This window comes from Homo sapiens, chromosome 21 (genome assembly GCF_000001405.40).
Source record: "Homo sapiens chromosome 21, GRCh38.p14 Primary Assembly".
Lineage (NCBI taxonomy): Eukaryota > Metazoa > Chordata > Mammalia > Primates > Hominidae > Homo > Homo sapiens.
This window is the reverse complement of record NC_000021.9, coordinates 14864218-14884152: the sequence shown is the minus strand read 5'-3', so window position 1 is coordinate 14884152 and position 19935 is coordinate 14864218. Positions and strand designations below refer to the sequence as shown.

The 19935-nt window shown below is 38.9% G+C and overlaps 1 long non-coding RNA gene across 1 annotated transcript in view, besides 4 other annotated features; it reads left to right on the top strand.

Moving 5' to 3' along the window:
• ASMER1 (adipocyte associated metabolic related lncRNA 1) overlaps positions 1–19935 on the top strand; it is a 101831-nt gene that overhangs the window by 34516 nt on the left and 47380 nt on the right. The gene's annotated exons all lie outside the window — the stretch shown is intronic.
• Positions 4331–4625: an enhancer, noted in NCBI's record as "tiled region #6418; HepG2 Activating non-DNase unmatched - State 5:Enh". NCBI's record gives its function as "activates a minimal TATA promoter and a strong SV40 promoter by Sharpr-MPRA in HepG2 cells {active_cell/tissue: HepG2}" and the evidence as "EXISTENCE:reporter gene assay evidence [ECO:0000049][PMID:27701403]".
• Positions 6034–6103: an enhancer, noted in NCBI's record as "active region_18286". NCBI's record gives its function as "activates an Ori minimal core promoter by ATAC-STARR-seq in GM12878 lymphoblastoid cells {active_cell/tissue: GM12878}" and the evidence as "EXISTENCE:reporter gene assay evidence [ECO:0000049][PMID:35858748]".
• Positions 13291–13340: an enhancer, noted in NCBI's record as "active region_18285". NCBI's record gives its function as "activates an Ori minimal core promoter by ATAC-STARR-seq in GM12878 lymphoblastoid cells {active_cell/tissue: GM12878}" and the evidence as "EXISTENCE:reporter gene assay evidence [ECO:0000049][PMID:35858748]".
• Positions 19426–19475: an enhancer, noted in NCBI's record as "active region_18284". NCBI's record gives its function as "activates an Ori minimal core promoter by ATAC-STARR-seq in GM12878 lymphoblastoid cells {active_cell/tissue: GM12878}" and the evidence as "EXISTENCE:reporter gene assay evidence [ECO:0000049][PMID:35858748]".

Genomic DNA, 19935 nt, shown 5'->3' with positions numbered 1-19935 from the left:
GAGAAAAAAAGAAGTTTTATATACAGGTATCTGGAAATGGGGGTAGGAAACAAAGAGGTTGGGGAGGCATTGATTTCTTCCAGCTGGCCTGAGTTACTCCCATTGAAAACAATTGAGAGCAGGGTTAGGAGCAGAAGCTGAAGGAGCTATGTCAATGAACAATTAAACTAGTAGTGATGAGAACAATGGAGACGAAAATAATAATATCCATATCATTTGTTGAGTGCTTACTAACTTCTGGCACTCTGCTCAGTCACTGGTATAACAATACAGTATTCCATTTAATGCTAACAATAATTTTATGAGGACAGAATTATCATTTCCATTATATTAAAGAAGGGAAAAAGTAAAAATTCAAGTTCAGAAAGGTTTTCTATGTTGCTAAAAATCAAAAAGATGCTAAGTAGCAGGGACAAATTTGAAATCTGGACCTAATTTTAGAGCCAAATTCGAAAACACCAAGTTATGTCTGACCCACCAGTAACAAAGTGCTGCTTGAAAGCTGGAGGAAGATTGCTTTCTTCCTATGCTTTTCAATACCTTTCTTTCTCCACCTCCCTTCCCTTCCTCCCACTCCCTTATCTCTTCCACCCCTGTAGGAGGACTAGTGTCCTCAGCCTTGGAGCTCTAGAGCTGACCACAGAGGATAGTGGTACTCAGGGTGGACTATTCTCAGAGAGGGACCCAGACCAGGGACTTGGTGAGGGGGTCTTTGAGGAAGAGGCCAGGGACAAAGAGGCCAGGGCTTATTTCTGAGTACACATGAGCTTTCCTCTTGAGACTTCCTGGAAGTACAGAAGACCTTAAGAAGGGCCCAATTCCTGGAAGATCTGGGTGCTAAGGTTGATGTGATTTCATTGGCCTTCCCATGCTGATGTGGCCCAGAACCATCTAGCTACACTGGTAACTGCCATAGACTATGCATTTGCCAAACTTTTCCCAAGTGCTTCTAGATCTGTAAGATGTAGGGACACGATGAGATGGTGCCTAAAATTCCTTTTAGCACGAACAAACCTATGAACCCATAATTTTTTTTTCAAATTCCAGCTGGAACTCAAATCGAGAGAGGAGGAGCAAATTGCAAATTCTTCTTCTTCTTTTTTCTTTTCTTTCTTTTTTTTTTTTTTTTTTTTTGAGATGGAGTTTTGATCTTGTTGCCGGTCTGGAGTACAATGGTCCGGTCTTGGCTTACTGGAACCTCCGCCTCCCAGGTTCACATGATTCTCCTGCCTCAGCCTCCCTAGTAGCTGGGATTACAGGCACCCACCACCATGCCCAGCTAATTTTTGTACTTTTTTTTAGTAGAGATGGGGTTTCACTATGTCAGTCAGGCTGGTCTTGAACTCCTGACCTCAGGCAATCCATCTGCCTCAGACTCCCAAAATGCTGGGATTACAAGCGTGAGCCACCGCGCCCAGCCGGAGCACATTCTTTTATGCTGATTATGATTCTCTGAAGAAGACCTCAAGGCCAATGTGACAAACGGGAGGGAAGAGCAAAAGGAGACTTGGCTCAGGGCTAAGCAATCATCTAGAAAGTTAGCATTTTGAGACACAACTTGACTAGAATGTTTTGCTTCTATTTATTTATCTAGAAAATCTTAACATGACCAAGGAAATCATGATTGTCACTGTTTTTCCTGGGCACCCTCCCTCCCCTGGCCTGGAGTCCCTAATTATGTGTAATTGGCTCAGGCTCCTGGGCCTCATAACTTCTTAAAGATGCATAAGAGGAAGTCATTCTCTTTCCTCAATGATGAGTATAGTGAGAATCCCCGTAAGTGATAAATAGATGAAGGAATTAATTTACATAATCCTCTTTCTATCTGTCCCTCTATCCATCCTTCCATCCATTTATTCAATAGTCGTTCATTTAGCACCTCCCATGAATCAAATACAGTATGCATACTGGAATTAGCATGTCCAGAAAAAGACATTTTCTGCCCTTGGGAATTTCAAAAAAATTCAAGAGAAGTGCTATGGCTTGAATATTTGTGTTTTCTCAAAATTTACTCATATGTTGAAATCCTAATACCCAAGGTGATGGTATTAGGAGGTAGGGCCTTTGGGATGTGATTAAGTCATGAGGGTGGAGTCTTCATGAATGGAACTAGTGCCCTTATAAAAGAGCCCTGAGAGAGATCCCTTGGCCCTTCCACCATGTGAGTATACAGAGAGAAGGTATGATCCATGGATCAGGAAACCAGCCTTCCCTAGACATGGAATCTGCTGGCACCTTGATTTTGAACTTCCCAGACTCCAGAACTGTGAGAAATAAATTTCTGTTGTTTATAAGCTACACAGTTTATGGTATTTTGTTACAGCAGCCTAAACAGAACAAGACAGTAAGTGGCAAAGAGATAGCAATGTGTTAACTGTTTTGATTGAAATTGAATGGTAAACCAAGTTGTATGCATCACAGAACAGGAGTAAAAAGACAAGCCTAAGAAGGGTCTTTGCTTTCTTCCTTTTTTTTTAGAGTCAGAGTCTTGCTCTGTTGCCCAGGTTGGAGTGCAGTAATACCGTCATGGCTGACTTGCACCTCAAACTTCTGAGCTCAAGCAATCTTCCTGCCTCAGCTTCCCAAGTAGCTGGAACTACAACTGCAAGCCACTATGCTCAGTTGTTTTTTATTTTTTATTTTTATATTTGTTTATTTATTTATTTATTTTTGAGACGGAGTTTTGCTCTGTTACGCAGGCTGGAGTGCAGTGGCACAATCTCGGCTCACTGCAAGCTCTGCCTCCCGGGTTCATGCCATTCTCCTGCCTCAGCCTCCCGAGTAGCTGGGACGACAGGCACCCACCACTATGCCCAGCTAATGTTTTTGTATTTTTAGTAGAGACGGGGTTGTTTTTGTTTTTTTAGAGACAGGATCTTGCTATGTTTATCAGGCTGGTCTCAAACTCCAAGCCTCAAGTGATCTTCCTGAGTCAGTGCCATTATAGGCATGAGCTACTATGTCTGGCTCCAGGTCTTAAAGTGTGAGTATGAATTCCTGGGGGATTAAGAGGAAAGGCATTCCTGGAAGCAGATATATAGGATGGTATGGGGAAAGGTTTGCATGACACACTTAGGCAATAGGAAGCAGTTTTACATGATTCAGCACACAAGATATTAATGAAGATAAAGAAAAAGATTGGTTGATTTTACAGAGACGTTGGTGTAATATGCTAAGAAAGCTCATATTATCATGAGGATAATAGAACTGCTGAAACAGTTCAGGTGGAAGAAAACTTATTCCTTAAGAGAATTATGAAAAATAAGGTATTCTTAAATTGGCAATCCATTTGTGACCCCTAGTGCCAATGGTGGCTTCTAACATCTATTCCCATTTCACAGTGTCTTGCTGTGCATTGATTCTCATCCTTAAGTTCTCATCATCCCCAGTATCACCTGGGAACAGTTAAAAACCTTAATGACCCAAATCTACTCCATTCCAGTGAATTCAAAATTTCTAGAACTGAGACCTAGACATCAAAAATATCTTAAAGCTTCCAGGTTATACCAACTACAGCCAAAGTTGAGAACTGCTAACCTAGTGGTGTGCTGGCAAGAAGAGCATGAGACCACTCTAGTGTATACCCTGCTAAGTCTCAGCTCTCCTATGCCATCCTTTAGGATATACACTGAATCCCTTTTCTGTCAGGTTTCAGTCTATATTTCTAAAAAAGGACTTCCTTGAGAATGGTATTGGAGTTCACTTCCTCAAATAGATCAGAATTTATTGTTGGAGGCAGAAAAATTAGCTAAGTGTTACAATACTGTAAGATAGTTACTCTGGTGTTAGTCTTTGCACAGATTGCTGTGGAAGAGACACTTACATTCAGAGAGGCAAGGGGAGGTGAAGTGTGTAGGAAGAGAAGCACTGAGGCAGAGTACAGGGTCCCAGGGATGAAGGACAAGAGGATTATTTTAGGTGGCGGGATCAGAATGTGTAAGGCACAAAGGCATCAAAGAACATGGCAAAGACTCAGGGTTCTCCCGGCACTTTGTTCATAGTATTTGTAGTATAGTCCCCACATTGTTGTGTCCAGTTCATTGTATACAGATTTAGTACTATTTCTATCCTATGAGGACTTTGAGGGTACATATGCCCAGAACACAGACAGCATGGCAGCATGGTCCTTGCTATATAATAGCCTCTCATGAATTAACCTGTTTTGCAGGGGGGAAACAAAGAAAGATTTAATACAGAATTCAGTCAGACAGAAGGTTGGAAATAACTAGCTTGAATATCATGAACTGACTTAAAGATTAAAAAAAAGGAACATAAATATTCATGGGAAAAAGATGAATTGAAACCAGAAGTTTCTCATGAATGTCATACCAGCTTAAATGTCTGAGTAGTGTCCAAATGAAATGCAGTGACTTCCTTTTGGTCAACATCCTAATCAATATGATCAGGTCTCTCAAATTGTATCCCATACTTCGAAGTCACACTTTGATTCATAGGGAATTTCCATTCTTCCTTACAGCTGTTGAGAGGGGAGTTCTAACAAGAGGAAGTAGCTCTGTGCACCTTCCTCACTTCCTTCCTGGCTGTGTCATTCCTGGGTCTGGGTCACCAGCTGCATCCAGGAGTCCCAGAGGGTGTCGTGAATGTTACTCACAGTGTAAATGGATCTAGAACACAACTTACTTAGAGCCATATCTTCTAGTTTTGATTTGTGTTAGAAGTGATCACAAAGTCGTTTAAACTTAAATGACACTGTCGAAACTGACATCAGTGAAAAGTATTTATTATAAACGTGTTCATTGTATATCTTAATTTCAAGGCTCTTACCGTTTTCTGTGCTTAAGTATTCTCTAATGAGAATCTTTACAAAAATTATTAAGGTGGGAAGCAAGTGGTATTATTCGCATTTAGATAGATAAACGGTGACAAAGATGCTTTCTTAAAAAGTTTTTAAACAAATATTGAGTCACAGGTAGGACTTGTTTAAACAAGTGAAAGCATTTCCAATAAGTACACATTGAAAAAAACGGACACATGGGTTGCATGAAATAACAGCTTCATGTGATCATCTCAGGGAGTTTTCCTAAGCATGCTGATTGGATTGGGTTAGTATTCGGTCAATGGCTTTTCCATACTTTTAAAGTTTGCCATCATTACTTCAAGAAAGTGAGTCTTGTCACTATCATTAAATACTTATTTGGAGCTCTGTAGCTATTTATTTCACTTCTTGTTTGAGCTTTAACACTGTGAAGATCTCAGATATTTTCCATTCATTATTCATATGAGGTTCATTGGATATATTCATCCATTTCTTTATTTTCTCTGCATCTGATATGGTTTGGTTTTGTCCCCACCCAAATCTCATATTAAATTCCCACGTGTTGTGGTGGGTCGGGGGGACCTGGTGGGAGGTCTTTCCCATGCTGTTCTCATGATAGTAAATAAGTCTCACGAGATCCGATGGTTTTATAAGAGGAAGTTTCCCTGCCCAAGCATTTTTTTTTTTTTGCCTGTGCCATCCATATGAGACATGCCTATCACCTTCCACCATGATTGTGAGGCTTCCCCAGCCAAGTGGAACTGTAAGTCCACTAAACCTCTTTCTTTTGTAAATTGCCCAGTCTCAGATATGTCTTTATCAGCAGCAAAACGGACTAATACAGCATCCTCTACCATTTTCAGCAAACTCCTTTTTATTCTGTAGTACTTTATATCTCTGATTTAAATCACATTTGCTGTTCTTGAATTCCTGTTTGAGCAAAACAAATAAACAAACATAAATGGCGTAGAATTAGTTGAAGAAATTGCCTTAAGGTAAGGCTCCAAATCTGACTATTTTAAAATATCTTAGGTTTATCTCTTTTAGATATGCCAATCTCAGGGCAGAGGTAGGTGAGGAAAGAGCTTATATGACTGCCCCTTCTCTGAGATTCAAAAAACGAGAAAATAAATTCTGTTGTTCAATTCTAAGACAAGTGGAAAAGATCAAAGACTTTATTACAGTTTTTTTATTTTTATTGAGCAGATTCACTTGGAACTTTGGCTTGCATGTGGAATGTTTACCTTTTAATAAGTGATCTGTTTAAATGTGGATCAGAGAACAAGGGTTTCTGTTTTACAGTTCAACTTTTGACCTTGGGGGATGAATGGGTGGAGGCTAAGAGGAAAAGTCCACTGTGTTTCTGCTGAACTTTTTACCCTTAAGAAAAAAATGAGCAAGTTTAAAGTTCACACAGTGCACAAGAGGTCTCCGCTGGGGATTTCTCGTATTATTAACTTCCTGACCTCAGATAATTAAAAAGGAAGAGCAGAGCCACCTCAGACTGTGACTCAACTTTGAACTTTTAACCTCCCAAGTAAAGTATTTAAATTGTAAATGGTAGACCCTGGAAGCTTTCTTATTGCTATTAAATTCCTTCATCCTTGGTCACAAAGTTATAATCTAGGCCAAAAGCATAGCCTGATCTTTCCTTTTTATTTACTTAACCTCTTTTAACAGAAAGGACTGAGAACACTATTTACCTAGAAATGACAGGTATTCTGGTGAAAGAAGTTAAGCTTAAAGGGTCACTGAATTTTGGAGCTGGAAGCAACCATAGATTATCTGTCCACTTCCCTCAGTGTGGAAAGAGAATACTGAGAACCAATTGGTTGAGTGACTTCCTTAAGGTCAGATAGTTAACAGGAGAACAAAAGAGCATCTCTAATTCATTAGCTGTATTTGTTTCAGTAGAAGAAGGATTAAAGCACGATTGGGGTTAAGGAATATTTCCCTATATTGCATAAGGGTCTAGAGGATCTGTGGCTTCTTTTTCTTTTTTTACATTAAAATTCATGAAGTAAAAAAAATCACTAGATAGGGATCAGGAGATCTGGGTCCTAAGTAGTGGCCCCTTCGCCCTTATTTATTGTGGAACCTTAGGAACTCATTTAACTTTTCCAAGCTGTGATTTGCTTTGTTGTAAAATGAAATACAGTTGGGAGGAGGTAATAAGCATCTGAGACCCCTTTCTGTTATAACGTATTTTGGTTCAATGGTATTCTTGCCTTAAGAATTCTCACTGCAATTTATGTTTAAACCTGAGCAGATATACAATTATAGGCAACATCTGTTTTTTTTTCTTTTTTTTTTTTTTAATACAAGATAAGGCTAGATGGCTGTGGTTTTAGGGTAATTGGTTATATCATGCTGAGCTTGACATCGATGGTAAGGTTCTCCTTATGTTAAAACAAAAATCCCAAAGGAAGCTGGGAATATAATGTAAGGAGGAGTGAGGGACAGAAAAAGGAAGAACAAAAGAAGCCAGACAAAGAAGAAGGAAGAAGAAGGGATGATCAGGAGAAAAGGCATCAGAAAGGAGGGTGACGGGGATGGTGGCCCCTCAGTTGGATAGGGACTCAGTCAAAGCTTGTCATACTGACAAAGCCAATGAGGACATTGTGAATCTGCCAGAGTCACATGCTGTTAATACCAAGGCTTGGATAGGCAGCTCCCACTGGCACTGGTACAACACACAGCATGCGGGACAGCCAGTGATCGGTGGGGCCCACTCTTCCCTCCTGCTGTTTGCTAACACCTTTATTGCCTCCAGTTAGTTACTCACACCACTCTCATTCCCATCTGTCGAGGAGCGTTCCCTTCCAACATTCTGTCCTCCTTCTCATATACGAGAAAAAGACCCTCCCAGTGTGACTGCAAACTGCAGAATGATACTGAGCTCTGAAATCAGGCAAGTTTGGAGTGGGGTTAGCAGTGATTTTCTTGTTTCCTAGTCCTAAGGAGTAAGCAGGTTGGAACTACAGGATGCTACTCGGGACCCTTCTGCAGACACAGCTGGAGGAAAAGGAGAGCGAGATGGCTGTCTGGCTGGAGGCCTGTTTGCACTGCCCTGGAGGCAGGACATCCCATTCATGGTCACTGCCTGTTGAAAGTGCCAAACAGCTGTATTCAGCTTCCAACACATTACAGATGTGAACCCACCCATGTCCTCAACCACTCTCAGTGGCTTTCAACTACTTTGCTTCTGCTTTACAATCTCCTCTGCCTGCTCTTCCTTGTCTGAGAGTCAGTCAAGACAAGGGATTACTGTTTGAGCAAGGGACTGCACTTATATGAATGTCTGATTAGGCAACCGAAGTTGCAGACCAGTGGGCTGTAAATAACTGGTAATTGGGGTTTTTGGTGGACAAAATTACCTAGTTATTTTCTCTGCCCGCTAAGTTCTATTCATTCACTAAATTCCTCCCACATTTTCTACTCTTGAGTACATTCTTTCCGGTGTGGATGTACAAAAATGTTAACCTCCAGAGCCCCTGAAGAGGGAGGTCAGAGGTCACCAAGCAGAGCGTGACTGTCATCATGAAACACGTCATACTGTCCCAATGCCACTTACCTGCATCAACATCTACAAAGGAAATAAAGCGCTGAGTTTTGTCTGCCAGTGAGCCCTGCAATGAAAAACATCACAATGCAAATATGTTGCACTTATGAAATTAAAAAAAGTCATAAGGTTTATGTTGCTCTTCTCAGTGATGAACTAAAACAAATTCCAGGTGGCTCAATTCAGGGCAATAATGATGAATCTATTTTTTTTATTTACTTATTTTTCTTTTTAAAAATAATTTGTACCTCAAGGCAATGAAAGAACAGAAAGTTAAGTACAACTCAGAGAGCCAGTGCCAAATAATTCAGTATGTGAATTGTCTGCAGTGAGGACTTTCATTAAGTCAGGGCCAATAATCCCCCATGAAGGTGGGAGGATCAGAGTGCTGGGAAGGGACAGCCTAGTACCTTGCCCTGTTTCTGAACTGGCCCAGCCCCACCCAAGATAAGTGGAGGAGCAGTGTGCAGTAAGTAGCCTTTGCTGACTCTAACTAACTATACCCCCAAACTGGGATAAGGCCATAACCCCAACTCCACTGTGAAGCCAAGACCTCGCCTCCAGAAGCAGCCAACACTGATGAATTCTCTGCAGTTGCCTGTTTTCCCTGGCAATATTACCTCTTTTGGCATGAACATTTGAATTGATGGTAAAACTGAAAAAAAAAATTAGCAAAAATTACACCAGCAAAAAGCCCGTTTTCTCTGTTTCCATCTTCTATATATTTATGAAGTAGATCTCTATATATTTGTCTGGTATTGTTCCTTTGGTTTGATGCACCCAGCTGGCAAGAATAAGTCATCTTTGGGGCTTAAATTTAGTGGAGTATCCCTGCAAATGCCAGGAGCTCCAGAGCTCTTAATGGAGCTTTGGCAGCCAAAATAGCAACAATTGTATAGCAGGTACAATGGGAGTGGGAGGCTGGTTGTGCAAGGAGCTGTAGTCTTCTCCCTTCCTTGTCCCCAGCAGTCCTGAAAGTGAACTAGTGTCTCAATGAGGTGTTATTTTAGGTTACAACTTGTCACACCTAATGGAAATGACACTAACAAGCAGGCAGATGCCAGTTGGAAATTTGTTGGTATCTAGGGATGGCAATTGTTGGCTCATTTATTCATTCAATCAGTCATTCAAATAACATGTATCATGCCCATCAAAAAGATGTGCCAGTCTCTGGAAACAGGAAACTCTTGGTGATCCCTGAGATATAAAAAGATGAGTTAGGATTTATTGCTGCTAAATACCTGTTTATCCAGTACTGCTAGGCAGAGGGCATGCCCTTAAAAAGCTCTAATAATTTGTGAAATATTGCTTCATACTCTGAAGCTTTCATTTGAAAACCAGACTTGATTCTTCTTTGGGAGGTCCAAAGAGACTGGCCCACCTTATTCCTAAGGGGAAAATTTGTATACCCTATAAATTTACAGTAGCTGTATGTATGGGCCTCCCTTTTGTTTCCCCTTGACCACATCAAGTTGAAGGGAGTACAGCTGGGCCCAAATTTTACTAACTTGTGTATGAATGTCTACTGAATGCAAGATATCATATAGAATAAACGATAAACACAGCCTTCCTTGACCTAAACAGAGAAAAACCTTTTCATCTATAATTGTAATATCAGGGTAATTCTGGTAAGGACTATAGGAGAAAACAGACAGTTTATGGTAAGTTATAAGACTCTGAGAAGGAAAGATTATTCATGTACAAAAAAGATAGATATAAACCTACACTGAAAATTACATAGATAAAAAAACACACATGTGCATTATAAATGCTGAAATCCAGCTGAAACAAGAATATTAAAAATTGAGCAAGGGAAATGGATTAAGCTAATGTGATGAATAATAATTCATTAGGCTCTTGGAAATGGTAGTGTTTGTATTTTTTTTTCATTAAAGATTCCAGGAAGCCAAAGACTTCTGGGTAATGTTCAAATCATTGGGAATTGATCTGACATTTAATGGCAAAAAGTTGAATGTCTAATGCCAAAACAAGGTCAATGGGTCAGGAGACCTCCATTACCTAACCTGGCTGACCTCTTTACATGACATATCAGAGTATTGATCAGGGTTGTGAGACAGGATTGGGCAGAGAGTTCCCTACCCCTCTTTCACTATTCTTAAAAAATTGGGTCTAGACAGCTTATTGTAGCCTGCTATGATCTGTATTTCTGTCTGATCTCAGTGAAAGGGTCTTGCTCTGTCTCTTGTCTTCCTACTTTTATTTGGCTGTACTCCTTAGACAAAAGTCTTCTTAGCATTCTGTATCAAGAGTTTAGTCATTGAAGGTCTAAACATACTCCAGGCTTTCCTCCTAGGTTTTGCCTTCAAACTTCATTGATCTTCAAACTTCAGTGATGCTACCAGAATGGTAGTCAGTTTTGATGTTTTTGAGCCATGGCTCTGAATGGTCAAATGAAATTTTCTGTCTATATTGCTAACTCTGCCTTTATTTTAGAGACCCATTATTAAAAAAGGGGTGCCAGCTTAACTAGGACATATGTTCTATTCTTACTTATGAATATTGTCTGTTTGCACTCTATCTGAGGGCTGATTGCCTTCTCAGTTTCCCTGTTAGTCATTATCTTTTATTTGATTATGGAAATGTTGGGCACTGGCTTCATAGGCCTAAACTAAATCCTTCTTATATTTAGCAGTGAAAGACTCCTTCAATTTGGTTTCTAACACTATGCAACTACATAATGATTTTAGCCTTTCCAAATGGTGTGTGTGTGTATAATATATATTTAATACATTTCTATATATAATATATATTTATATATAAAAACAAAAATTATATTTAATATATATTTCTTTTTTCTTGTTTTTTTTTTTTGAGATGGAGTCTAGCTCTGTCACCAGGCTGGAGTGCAGTGGCACAACCTTGGCTCACTGCAACCTCTGCCTCCCGGGTTCAAGCGATTCTCCTGCCTCAGCCTCCAAAGTAGCTGGGATTACAGGCGCCCATGATCACATCCAGCTAATTTTTGTATTTTTAGTAGAGACAGGGTTTCACCATTTTGGCCAAGAAGGTCTTGATCTCCTGACCTTGTGATCCTCCCACCTCAGCATCTCAAAGTGCTGGGATTACAGGCGTGAGCCACCGTGCTCGGCCTATTTAATGTATATTTCTATATCTATTATATATATCTACATCACAGATATATAATGTATGAAATTTCTATATCATAAACATAAAACATATATTAAATTATAGAAATATTAAATGTATTCTGATATATTATAGATATATTATGTAGAAACATATTGTTTATATATAAGAAATATATATTTAATATATTTTAAAATATTACATATAGAAATATAATTTATATAATATATAAATATATCTAAATATATAATAATTAGATATATTTAATATATATTTCTAGATACATTATAGATATATTATATCAAGAAATATATATTAAATATATATAATACATTTCTGATATATTTATATAATATATATCGTATATATTTCTTATCCTACCTCTGTGAAACAGAAATATATAATAGGTCATAGGAGTACCCTAATACTTCATTAGGCTTTTATAATGCGTTCCCATTGGAAATGGCTAATGTAAGCTCTTGGAATAGTTTGTTCTGCAAAGAACCCAGGACAACTGATTATTGGACCTATATTTTATCTTTATGTTCTTACTAAGACTATAACAGTGCTTAAAGGGTGTGGTAGTGATCTGTGCCCTACTTATTCCACAGTAAGGTAGAATCACAACTGGGACACAGCTGCCTAGCCACAGACTGTTTTCCTGCTCCCTCTGCAGTTAGGTGTGGCCATGAGACTAAATAAGCTCCAGTGAAATGTGAGCAAAAGTGATGTCCGTCATTCACACCTTTCTTTGAAAGTTCACATGCTCTCTCCTATAGCTCTTTTTTCCTTCCCATGGACTGAAATAGTGATGACGAGAGAGACCTTAGAAGCCACGTATTGAAGATGGCAGCACTAACCTCATTCTAGGTTGGGTTCCCAAGTAGAGCACAGCCTCCCCCAAATCCCAACTCCCCAGCATCCCAAAACACACACACACACACACACACACACACACACACACTGACCTGAACCTCCAGCTTAGACTGTTACTTTAGAGACAAATCTGCTTCTATTTTATCTGAGCCATTACATTTTGGGGAATATTTACTTTAGTAGTTTAGCCTACCTAATTAATATAAATGGCTACTTGATTTTACTAGAAAAAACTGCAAGAGCATTCAAGCCAGGGTTGGTGATGAGACTGAAAATTAGCCTTGTTCATGAGATATTTGAAGGGGAGAGGAATTGTTAGAATGGGAAAATAATGAAAGAGAAGTAGGTCAAGGGTGGAGAAAACAGTATGGAGATAGGAGTTGTACCACAGAGAGATGTTCACACTTCTCATACATAAAAGTGAAATGAAAGCATTAAAAAATAGAACCAGACATTTGCACCCACCTTTTTTCAAATGTAGAGACTTTATGGAGTATTCTGAACTGATAGGATATCGCCAGGTAATGAATTCTACATTCTTTGTGTTTGATTCAAGGTAAAGAACAGTTTTGTTCACTATAGTGAATCAAACACTAAATTAATAAGAGTTCAAAGATAAGCACTGGAGAACAGTTACCCTCTACACGTATTGCAGAAAGTAACCTCCGTATTTTCTTAAGCCTTTTCCAATCAAATTGTGTCTTTTCTCTTTAATGCTTGTCACTTAGATCTTTATCTCAGTAGGTCATCTCAAAAGTCTTGCATGCTAGAATCCAGAGAAATATAGAGATAAGCATCACCAACATTTATTGATGAAACAACTACTTAATAACCTCCAGAGGTGCTCACGCATACACAGCACATGAAAATAGTCCAGATAGAAAGTTTAAAGGGATTTCACAGTAGAAACCATGGAGATAGTGTGTGCAGTAACCCGTAGTCATTGCTGCCCTCATAGTATCTGATCTGAACCTGGCATAGCTTCAGAAAAAGCCAGGTGTTCAGGCTAAAATGAGAATGAGAAAAAAGGAGAAAGTTGCTTTCTTCTTATGTGAAAAATAGGGAATGAACATTTTATAGTTTGGTAGTAGAACCAGTTGTACGAGTTCTGCACTCGCCCATAGGGCTTAGCCTGAAGGGAGAAAAATATTTGTATTCAAAAATCACTTTAAGACTTATGGGAAGATATCTAAAGTTGGTGTATAGAATAAAGAACTGAGATTACAGTTGTATATCTGATTTGTTGGGACCACGTTTGAAACTTGAACTACTATATTTTAAAAGTTTTTTTTTTGAGTGACAATTTCCAGTTCTGTTTTTGGCATGAGGAAGTGATACAAGAAAGCTTCCTACTCTTGCACTTCTTTGTGTGTTCCCTTATTATTAAGTTTTGCTATTAAGTATTCATTTACAGTGTTCTGCCAGATAATTTATTTTAGATGTCGAGACAAGATCATTTGTTTATTGGATCCAGGTATTCTGCTATTCTTGGTTTGAAGAGGAAGTAGCTTTAAGTAAGAAATTCCCACACATTATTAATATGTATGCCCCTCTAGGTGAGTATGTATGTGTAGGAGAGAGACAGACCCACAGCTAGAGGCAGAGAATGGGACACAGAAAAAGGAGACAAAGAAACCATGGTGTCTCAGGTAATAAAATTACTTGCAAAGTTATTGAATAATGATATTGCATTTGCACATTGTACATTCCCTTTTCTTTCAAGTTTCAGTATCTCTCAACAGTCTAGGTGCTGTATGGCTGCTATTGCAGATGGAACTGGGGGAAACAGAGCAAGAGACAGATGAGGAAAAAAGAAATTATATGTATGTTTGCACGTAGAGTTCATCTCCTTTATTCCTCTCTCCTAGTTCAGTTAGTTGGAAGGATTCTGGTACTGTTTCTTTCATTTAACAACTTATCTGCTTTGACAAAGACAAATCAACTTCGACTTTTTGTGGCCCTTAGGGAAAATATTCTATATCTAGTGGTGAAATGGATTGATTTGATTAAAGCCACTGTGCAATCTCTGCTGAAGAAAGAAAATTATATTTTCCTTCACTGAAGATTGAAGAAGAGAAAACATCTGAATAAATATTTTGTTATATTTGATTTTAAAGAATGCATATGGAGAGGGTATAGAGATTGCCTTTAAACTTCAAGTTTGGAAATAAATACATATACATACATGTTACATATTTATGGTGGGAAATATGAGTAAAGTTAAAAGGACTTAATAACTGAGTGCTTTTATCAACAAATTAAAGTTTTCATTACACTTAATCAAATTTTTGTGAACTGCAGCAAAGTGTTTTTTTTCACCCCTACCCTCCCTCCCTCTCTGTCCCTCCCTCCCTTCCTTCATTTCTTCCTTTCTTTTCCTTCCTTCTTTTGAGGAGCTAAAATAAGTTTTTTTTTTCCTTAGCATTTTATCTTAAAAGTCTGGCTATGTAGTGACAGCTGGCTTAAAAAGATACCCTCACATCCTCTTCCACAAGAACCTCTCTGATATTTCAAGTCAATCCTGTGCAGAAGTTTTGAAGTTCTAAAACAATCACAAAGTTTTATTGTTTCTCAAGATTCTCCAGGACTATGAGAACTTAGGTATTCAAGAAAGGCATTTGAAAGGAACAAGAAGTACAAGTATTAGCTTTGTTCCATTCAAGTTAGGGTAGCTGCATTGCTACTATTTTCTTCCCGGTAAAACATGCTTCTCTACGTTTTTTCCTATCCCCTAGTCCCCAGCATTGTGGACTGCGAAATTATGTGACCATCCTATCCACAAGCAGTGCAGATTTTTGTTAAGAAAACAGAGGAACATGTCATTGACTTCTTATTAACGAAAGGAGGCCGTTGTCAAAATAAGAGACAATCTGAGAAAGAAGGGGAAATTCAGCCTGTTGCCACATCACTCAAGGCACGGCTGTACTTGGCATAAAAATTAAAGGGAAATGAGTTGAAAATGAAGACTTGTTACATTCTCTTTTGTAGTCAATTCTTCTTTCAGCCTCTCCCAGGAAGGAGAATGTGTTTTTTCCAAACAAGGAGCAGCAGGGGTTATCTTTTTTTGGACAAGCTAAAATCTGTCTCCTTGTCAAAGGAGACAGATCAGGTCAAAGAGGACTCTGCCTCCCAGAAACAGAGTGCAGAAGCTTAAATTCTGGTTCATGACAAGAACAAAGGGTTCTTGAGGAGGAAGCAAAATGCCGTCTCACTTGCTGGGCCACAAATTGCAGCACTGATTTAAAAATTATACACATGGCTTTTTTGAGCCATGCCAAAACCCTTTTCTCATTTTAGTGTCACTACTGGTTAGTTTGTTTGTTATGTGTGACATCTTTTTTTTTCCTCTAAGAACCATGAAACTATGCAAAGAATAGAAAGATCACAATATGGTCTTGTGGATGTCACTGCTTGAAAAGCAAAAATGCTAGTGAATTAACCATGGTTAGCAGGGATTAAGAAGAGTAAACAGTCTGAAGCAGAATGAATGTGATTGCAAGTGTTTTCAAAGGCCTTTCCTCCCCCAACTTTTTTTTTTTGAGAAGGAGTCTGGGTTTTGTCACCCAGGCTGGAGTGCAATGGCGTGATCTCAGCTCACTGCAACCTCTGCCTCCCGGATTCAAGTGATTCTCCTGCCTCAGCCTCCCGAGTAGCTGGGATTACAGGCACTTGCCACCACGCCTGGCTAATTTTTTTGGATTTTTAGTAGAGACGGGGTTTCACCATGTTGGCCAGGTTGGTCTCGAACTCCTGATCTCAGGTAATCAGCTCACCTCAGCCTCCAAAAGTGCTCGGATTACAGGCATAACCACCGTGCCTGGCCAACATTTTATTTAAAAAAAATCAAAGCTACAGAAATTGCAAGCATAGTAAAATAAGCAGTCATATGCCCTTCGTGTAGCTCTATGCTGATAGGATAGCCACTATCCACATGTGGTTAGCAGCCGCTTGAAAAGTGCTAGTCCAAATTGAAATGTGATATTCTACGTTTCTTTCTAAAATATAACCAATTCCTAATGTTTTCTGAAAAGTGAACATTTTATATGCTTCTAAACCAAGCATATAAAAATTGAATAAATATAAACCACATAAAATGATTCAAAAAATATACATATATAAAACATATATATTTGCATATAAAGACTAGACTCAGAGATATGTATCTGTGTTTAAAAGTTTAAAAGTTTAAAAGCCAACAGTCAGTAACTTTGAGACTTTACGGTTATGGATCTGTGGGTGTAGTCCTTATATGCAAATATGTGCTTTGTATATGTATCCATATATAAATCTTTGGTGCAGGTCTGATTATTTTCTTGGGATAATTCCTAAGGAGTAAAATTACTAGGTCAAAAGGAATTAACAATTCTTAAATACTTGATTCACATTGCTAAATAACTCTCCAGTAAAATTGTATCAAACCAAAGTCTCACATGATATTTGAGAGGGACAAGTTCATTTGCCAACACTAGTCATTATGCTTAAAAAACATCTTTCTCAATTTGTAAAGAAAGCTGCATCTGGTTTTATTTTGCAAGTGAGTATCAACTGTTTTGTATTCTTTTTCATTTGCTTTTTTGAGCACACTTTGGTGTGCTGCAGGAAAACACAGGAGGTTGACCCATGGAGACTTAGAGAGGTTCAAGATGTAGATATGAACTGGAGCAGCCCTCACATATTTGTGGTAGTTGATACTACAGGATGGCTTGAGGTATTTCAAGGAATATCAGGCTGGGCATGCTGGTGCATGCCTGTATCTCCAACACTTTGGTAGGCTGAGGCAGGATGATCCCTTGAGGCCAGGAGTTAGAGACAAGCCTGGGCAACAAAGCGAGACCTTATCTGTATGAAAAAATAAAAATTAGCTGGGTGTGGTGATGCACGCCTGTAGTTCTAGCTTCTTGGGCACCTGAGGGAAAATGATCACTTGAGCCCAGGAGATGGAGAGGCTGCAGTGAACCTATAACTGTGCCACTGCACTCCAGCCTGGGCAACACAGAGTTAAATCCTGTTGGAAAAAAAAAAGGAAATAGGAGATGAGAGGCAGTAAAGAATCCTGTGATCCTATGAAATCTGTAGCCAGGCTTCTGGAAAAATATGGTGTATGGAACCCTGTGGACAAGAGCATTTAAAAAATTGTGGTAAGTGCAGAATAAAGCCTTGGTCAGTAGTAACTATCAGTTTCCTAGGGCTGCCATAATGAAGCACCATAAACTGCCTAAAATCAAAGAAATTGATCACATCACAGTTCTGGAGGCTAGAAGTCTGAAATCAAGGCATCACCAGGGCCACAGTCTCTCTTACGTTTCTGAGAGATTCTTCCTTGCCCCCTTCTTAACCTCTGGTGGTTTCCTGGCAATCTGCGATGCTCCTTGGCTTGCAACTTCCTAATTCCAATCTCTGCCTTCATTGTCACAGTGTGTCCTCTCTGTGTATATGTTTTCAGATGGCCATCTTCTTAGAAGGATGCCAGTAATATTGGATCAGGGGCTAACTCTGCTCCAGTATGACCTCATTTCATCACTAATTACATCTGCCACAACTCTGTGTCCAAATAAGGTCACATTCTGAGATACTGAAGGTTAGGATTTCAACTTGTCTTTTTTGAGAGGGACTCAATTCAACTCATTACAATATCAAATGTTATACAAAGTATGATGGACACAGGGAAAAGGTCATTATATTTTGCATTTAGGAAATGATTGGTGACTTTTGGAAGAGCTGAGATCAAGGTAAAAGCCAAGTTCACAGCAGTTGATTAGTGGTGTGAAGTGGACAGTTAGCTGTGAAAGGCAGAGGGAAATAACTGAGGGTGGCACAAGAGTGAGAATATAAGACTTTCTGAGAATCAATAGGTGGTCATCAGTACATAAGGAAAGGGTCTTGAGTCAGCAAGGATGCCAATCTAATAAAGCAATATTGGAGTAAATGCCCTTATCACGCAAAATGACATTTTAGTGAATAGACTGCATATATGATGATGGTTCCATAAGATTATAATACCATATTTTTACCGTATCTTTTCTATGTTGAGATGCATAAATACTTTCCATTGTGTTACAGTCATCTACATACAGTAACATGCTGTACAGGTATGTAGTTTAGAAGCAGTAGGCTATACCATCTAGGTTTGTGTAAGTACACCATGATATTGATGTTCACATGATGAAATTGCCTACTGATGCATTTATCAGAACATATTCCCATCGTTAAGCAATACATGATTGTAGTTATTAAAATCCTACTAAATCAGGATGTATTTCCTATTAATATAAACTTATAAGCAATTTTAATCAATATTAAACACTAATACAGATATAGGTTTATTAGAGTCAATATATATGTTAATATAAGATTTTTGATGCTTTGCACTGTTTCCCAAGGTTCATAATATTATACAATTACTAAAGCTAGCAAGGTTATCATAAGACAAAGGGCATTTACAGTTTATAATCTATTTGTTTTTCTTTCAGAATCTAGAAAATAATTTTATTTGATTTTTCTGTAATTAAGTAAAATGCTGTTTTATTAAAATTTAATTTCCCCCCAAAACTTTCTAAAATCTGCAGATCTCTGAAAAGTTAATAATTTATCTGCCAAGCATACCTCCTGTATTTAAGTATTTATGAGCATGTGATAAATGTGTACTCTAAAACACAAACAGAATGTGTTTTCTTACGTATTAATGAATATTTTGATTAATTAAGCAGATATTAGAATTGCACATCACTTCAGGGTTGTTTGATTCAGAATAGCATCTGGTTTCAGTGATAACATGAATCATGAAAACTACTTATAAATGTGCTCTTGTGTTCTTCTCATAATCTCCTATGGAAAGTAAACAGGAACTGTTAAAAATGTACCTAGCACTTCTCAGGGGCTCCTGTTCTGGCTTGGTCCAACTCTGGTCATGCAGGCATTTTTCCTTTTAAGGACAATTAAGTCCTATCTTTGCAGGCCATAGTGTTACTCATGTTCGGGGAGGCCACAGAGCCGGGAAGAGGAGCCCTGAGCCCTGAGCAGGTTCAATGTCGCCCCCGTCAGGAGCACCGCTGCAATGGAAAGCTTCAGTTACCATCAAAGGGATGCAGTCAGGCCAGAGAGAGAACTGCTATTTTCAAATACAAATGAACAAAACTACAAAAATGACAGAGAAGTCTTTGTTCTCTGTCTAAATGTGAGCCCCAAACAAATCCTCCCTGATTTAATGTGAAGTTTCTGGCCTGACCCCGACACTCTCCCTGATGTGCCTTCTACACGTCTATGAGGCAGCACTGTCTGTAACAGTGTGTGTCAGGTGCAGGGACTTTTCCAGCTGTCTCATGACTGTTAGGCAACATTGCCTTTTCCTGGGACTTTCAGCTGGGCTGGCTATGGTCTTTTTAGATTTAGCTTTGGGAAGCTGCCCCCTGCTGGGCTTCGGTTGGTGTGAATGGCCTGGACTTAGGAAGGGGCACTGCTGTAGTTGGCCCTGAATGGACCCTGGACTTTGGAGCCTCCTGGATGACACAGTTGCTTACCCTCGTGTTATCAATCTGAAAAACCTCATCAAGTGATACATTTCCAATCTCCTGACTGTCCTGTGACTTATTTGATGGTATTAAGCAAAGCTCAG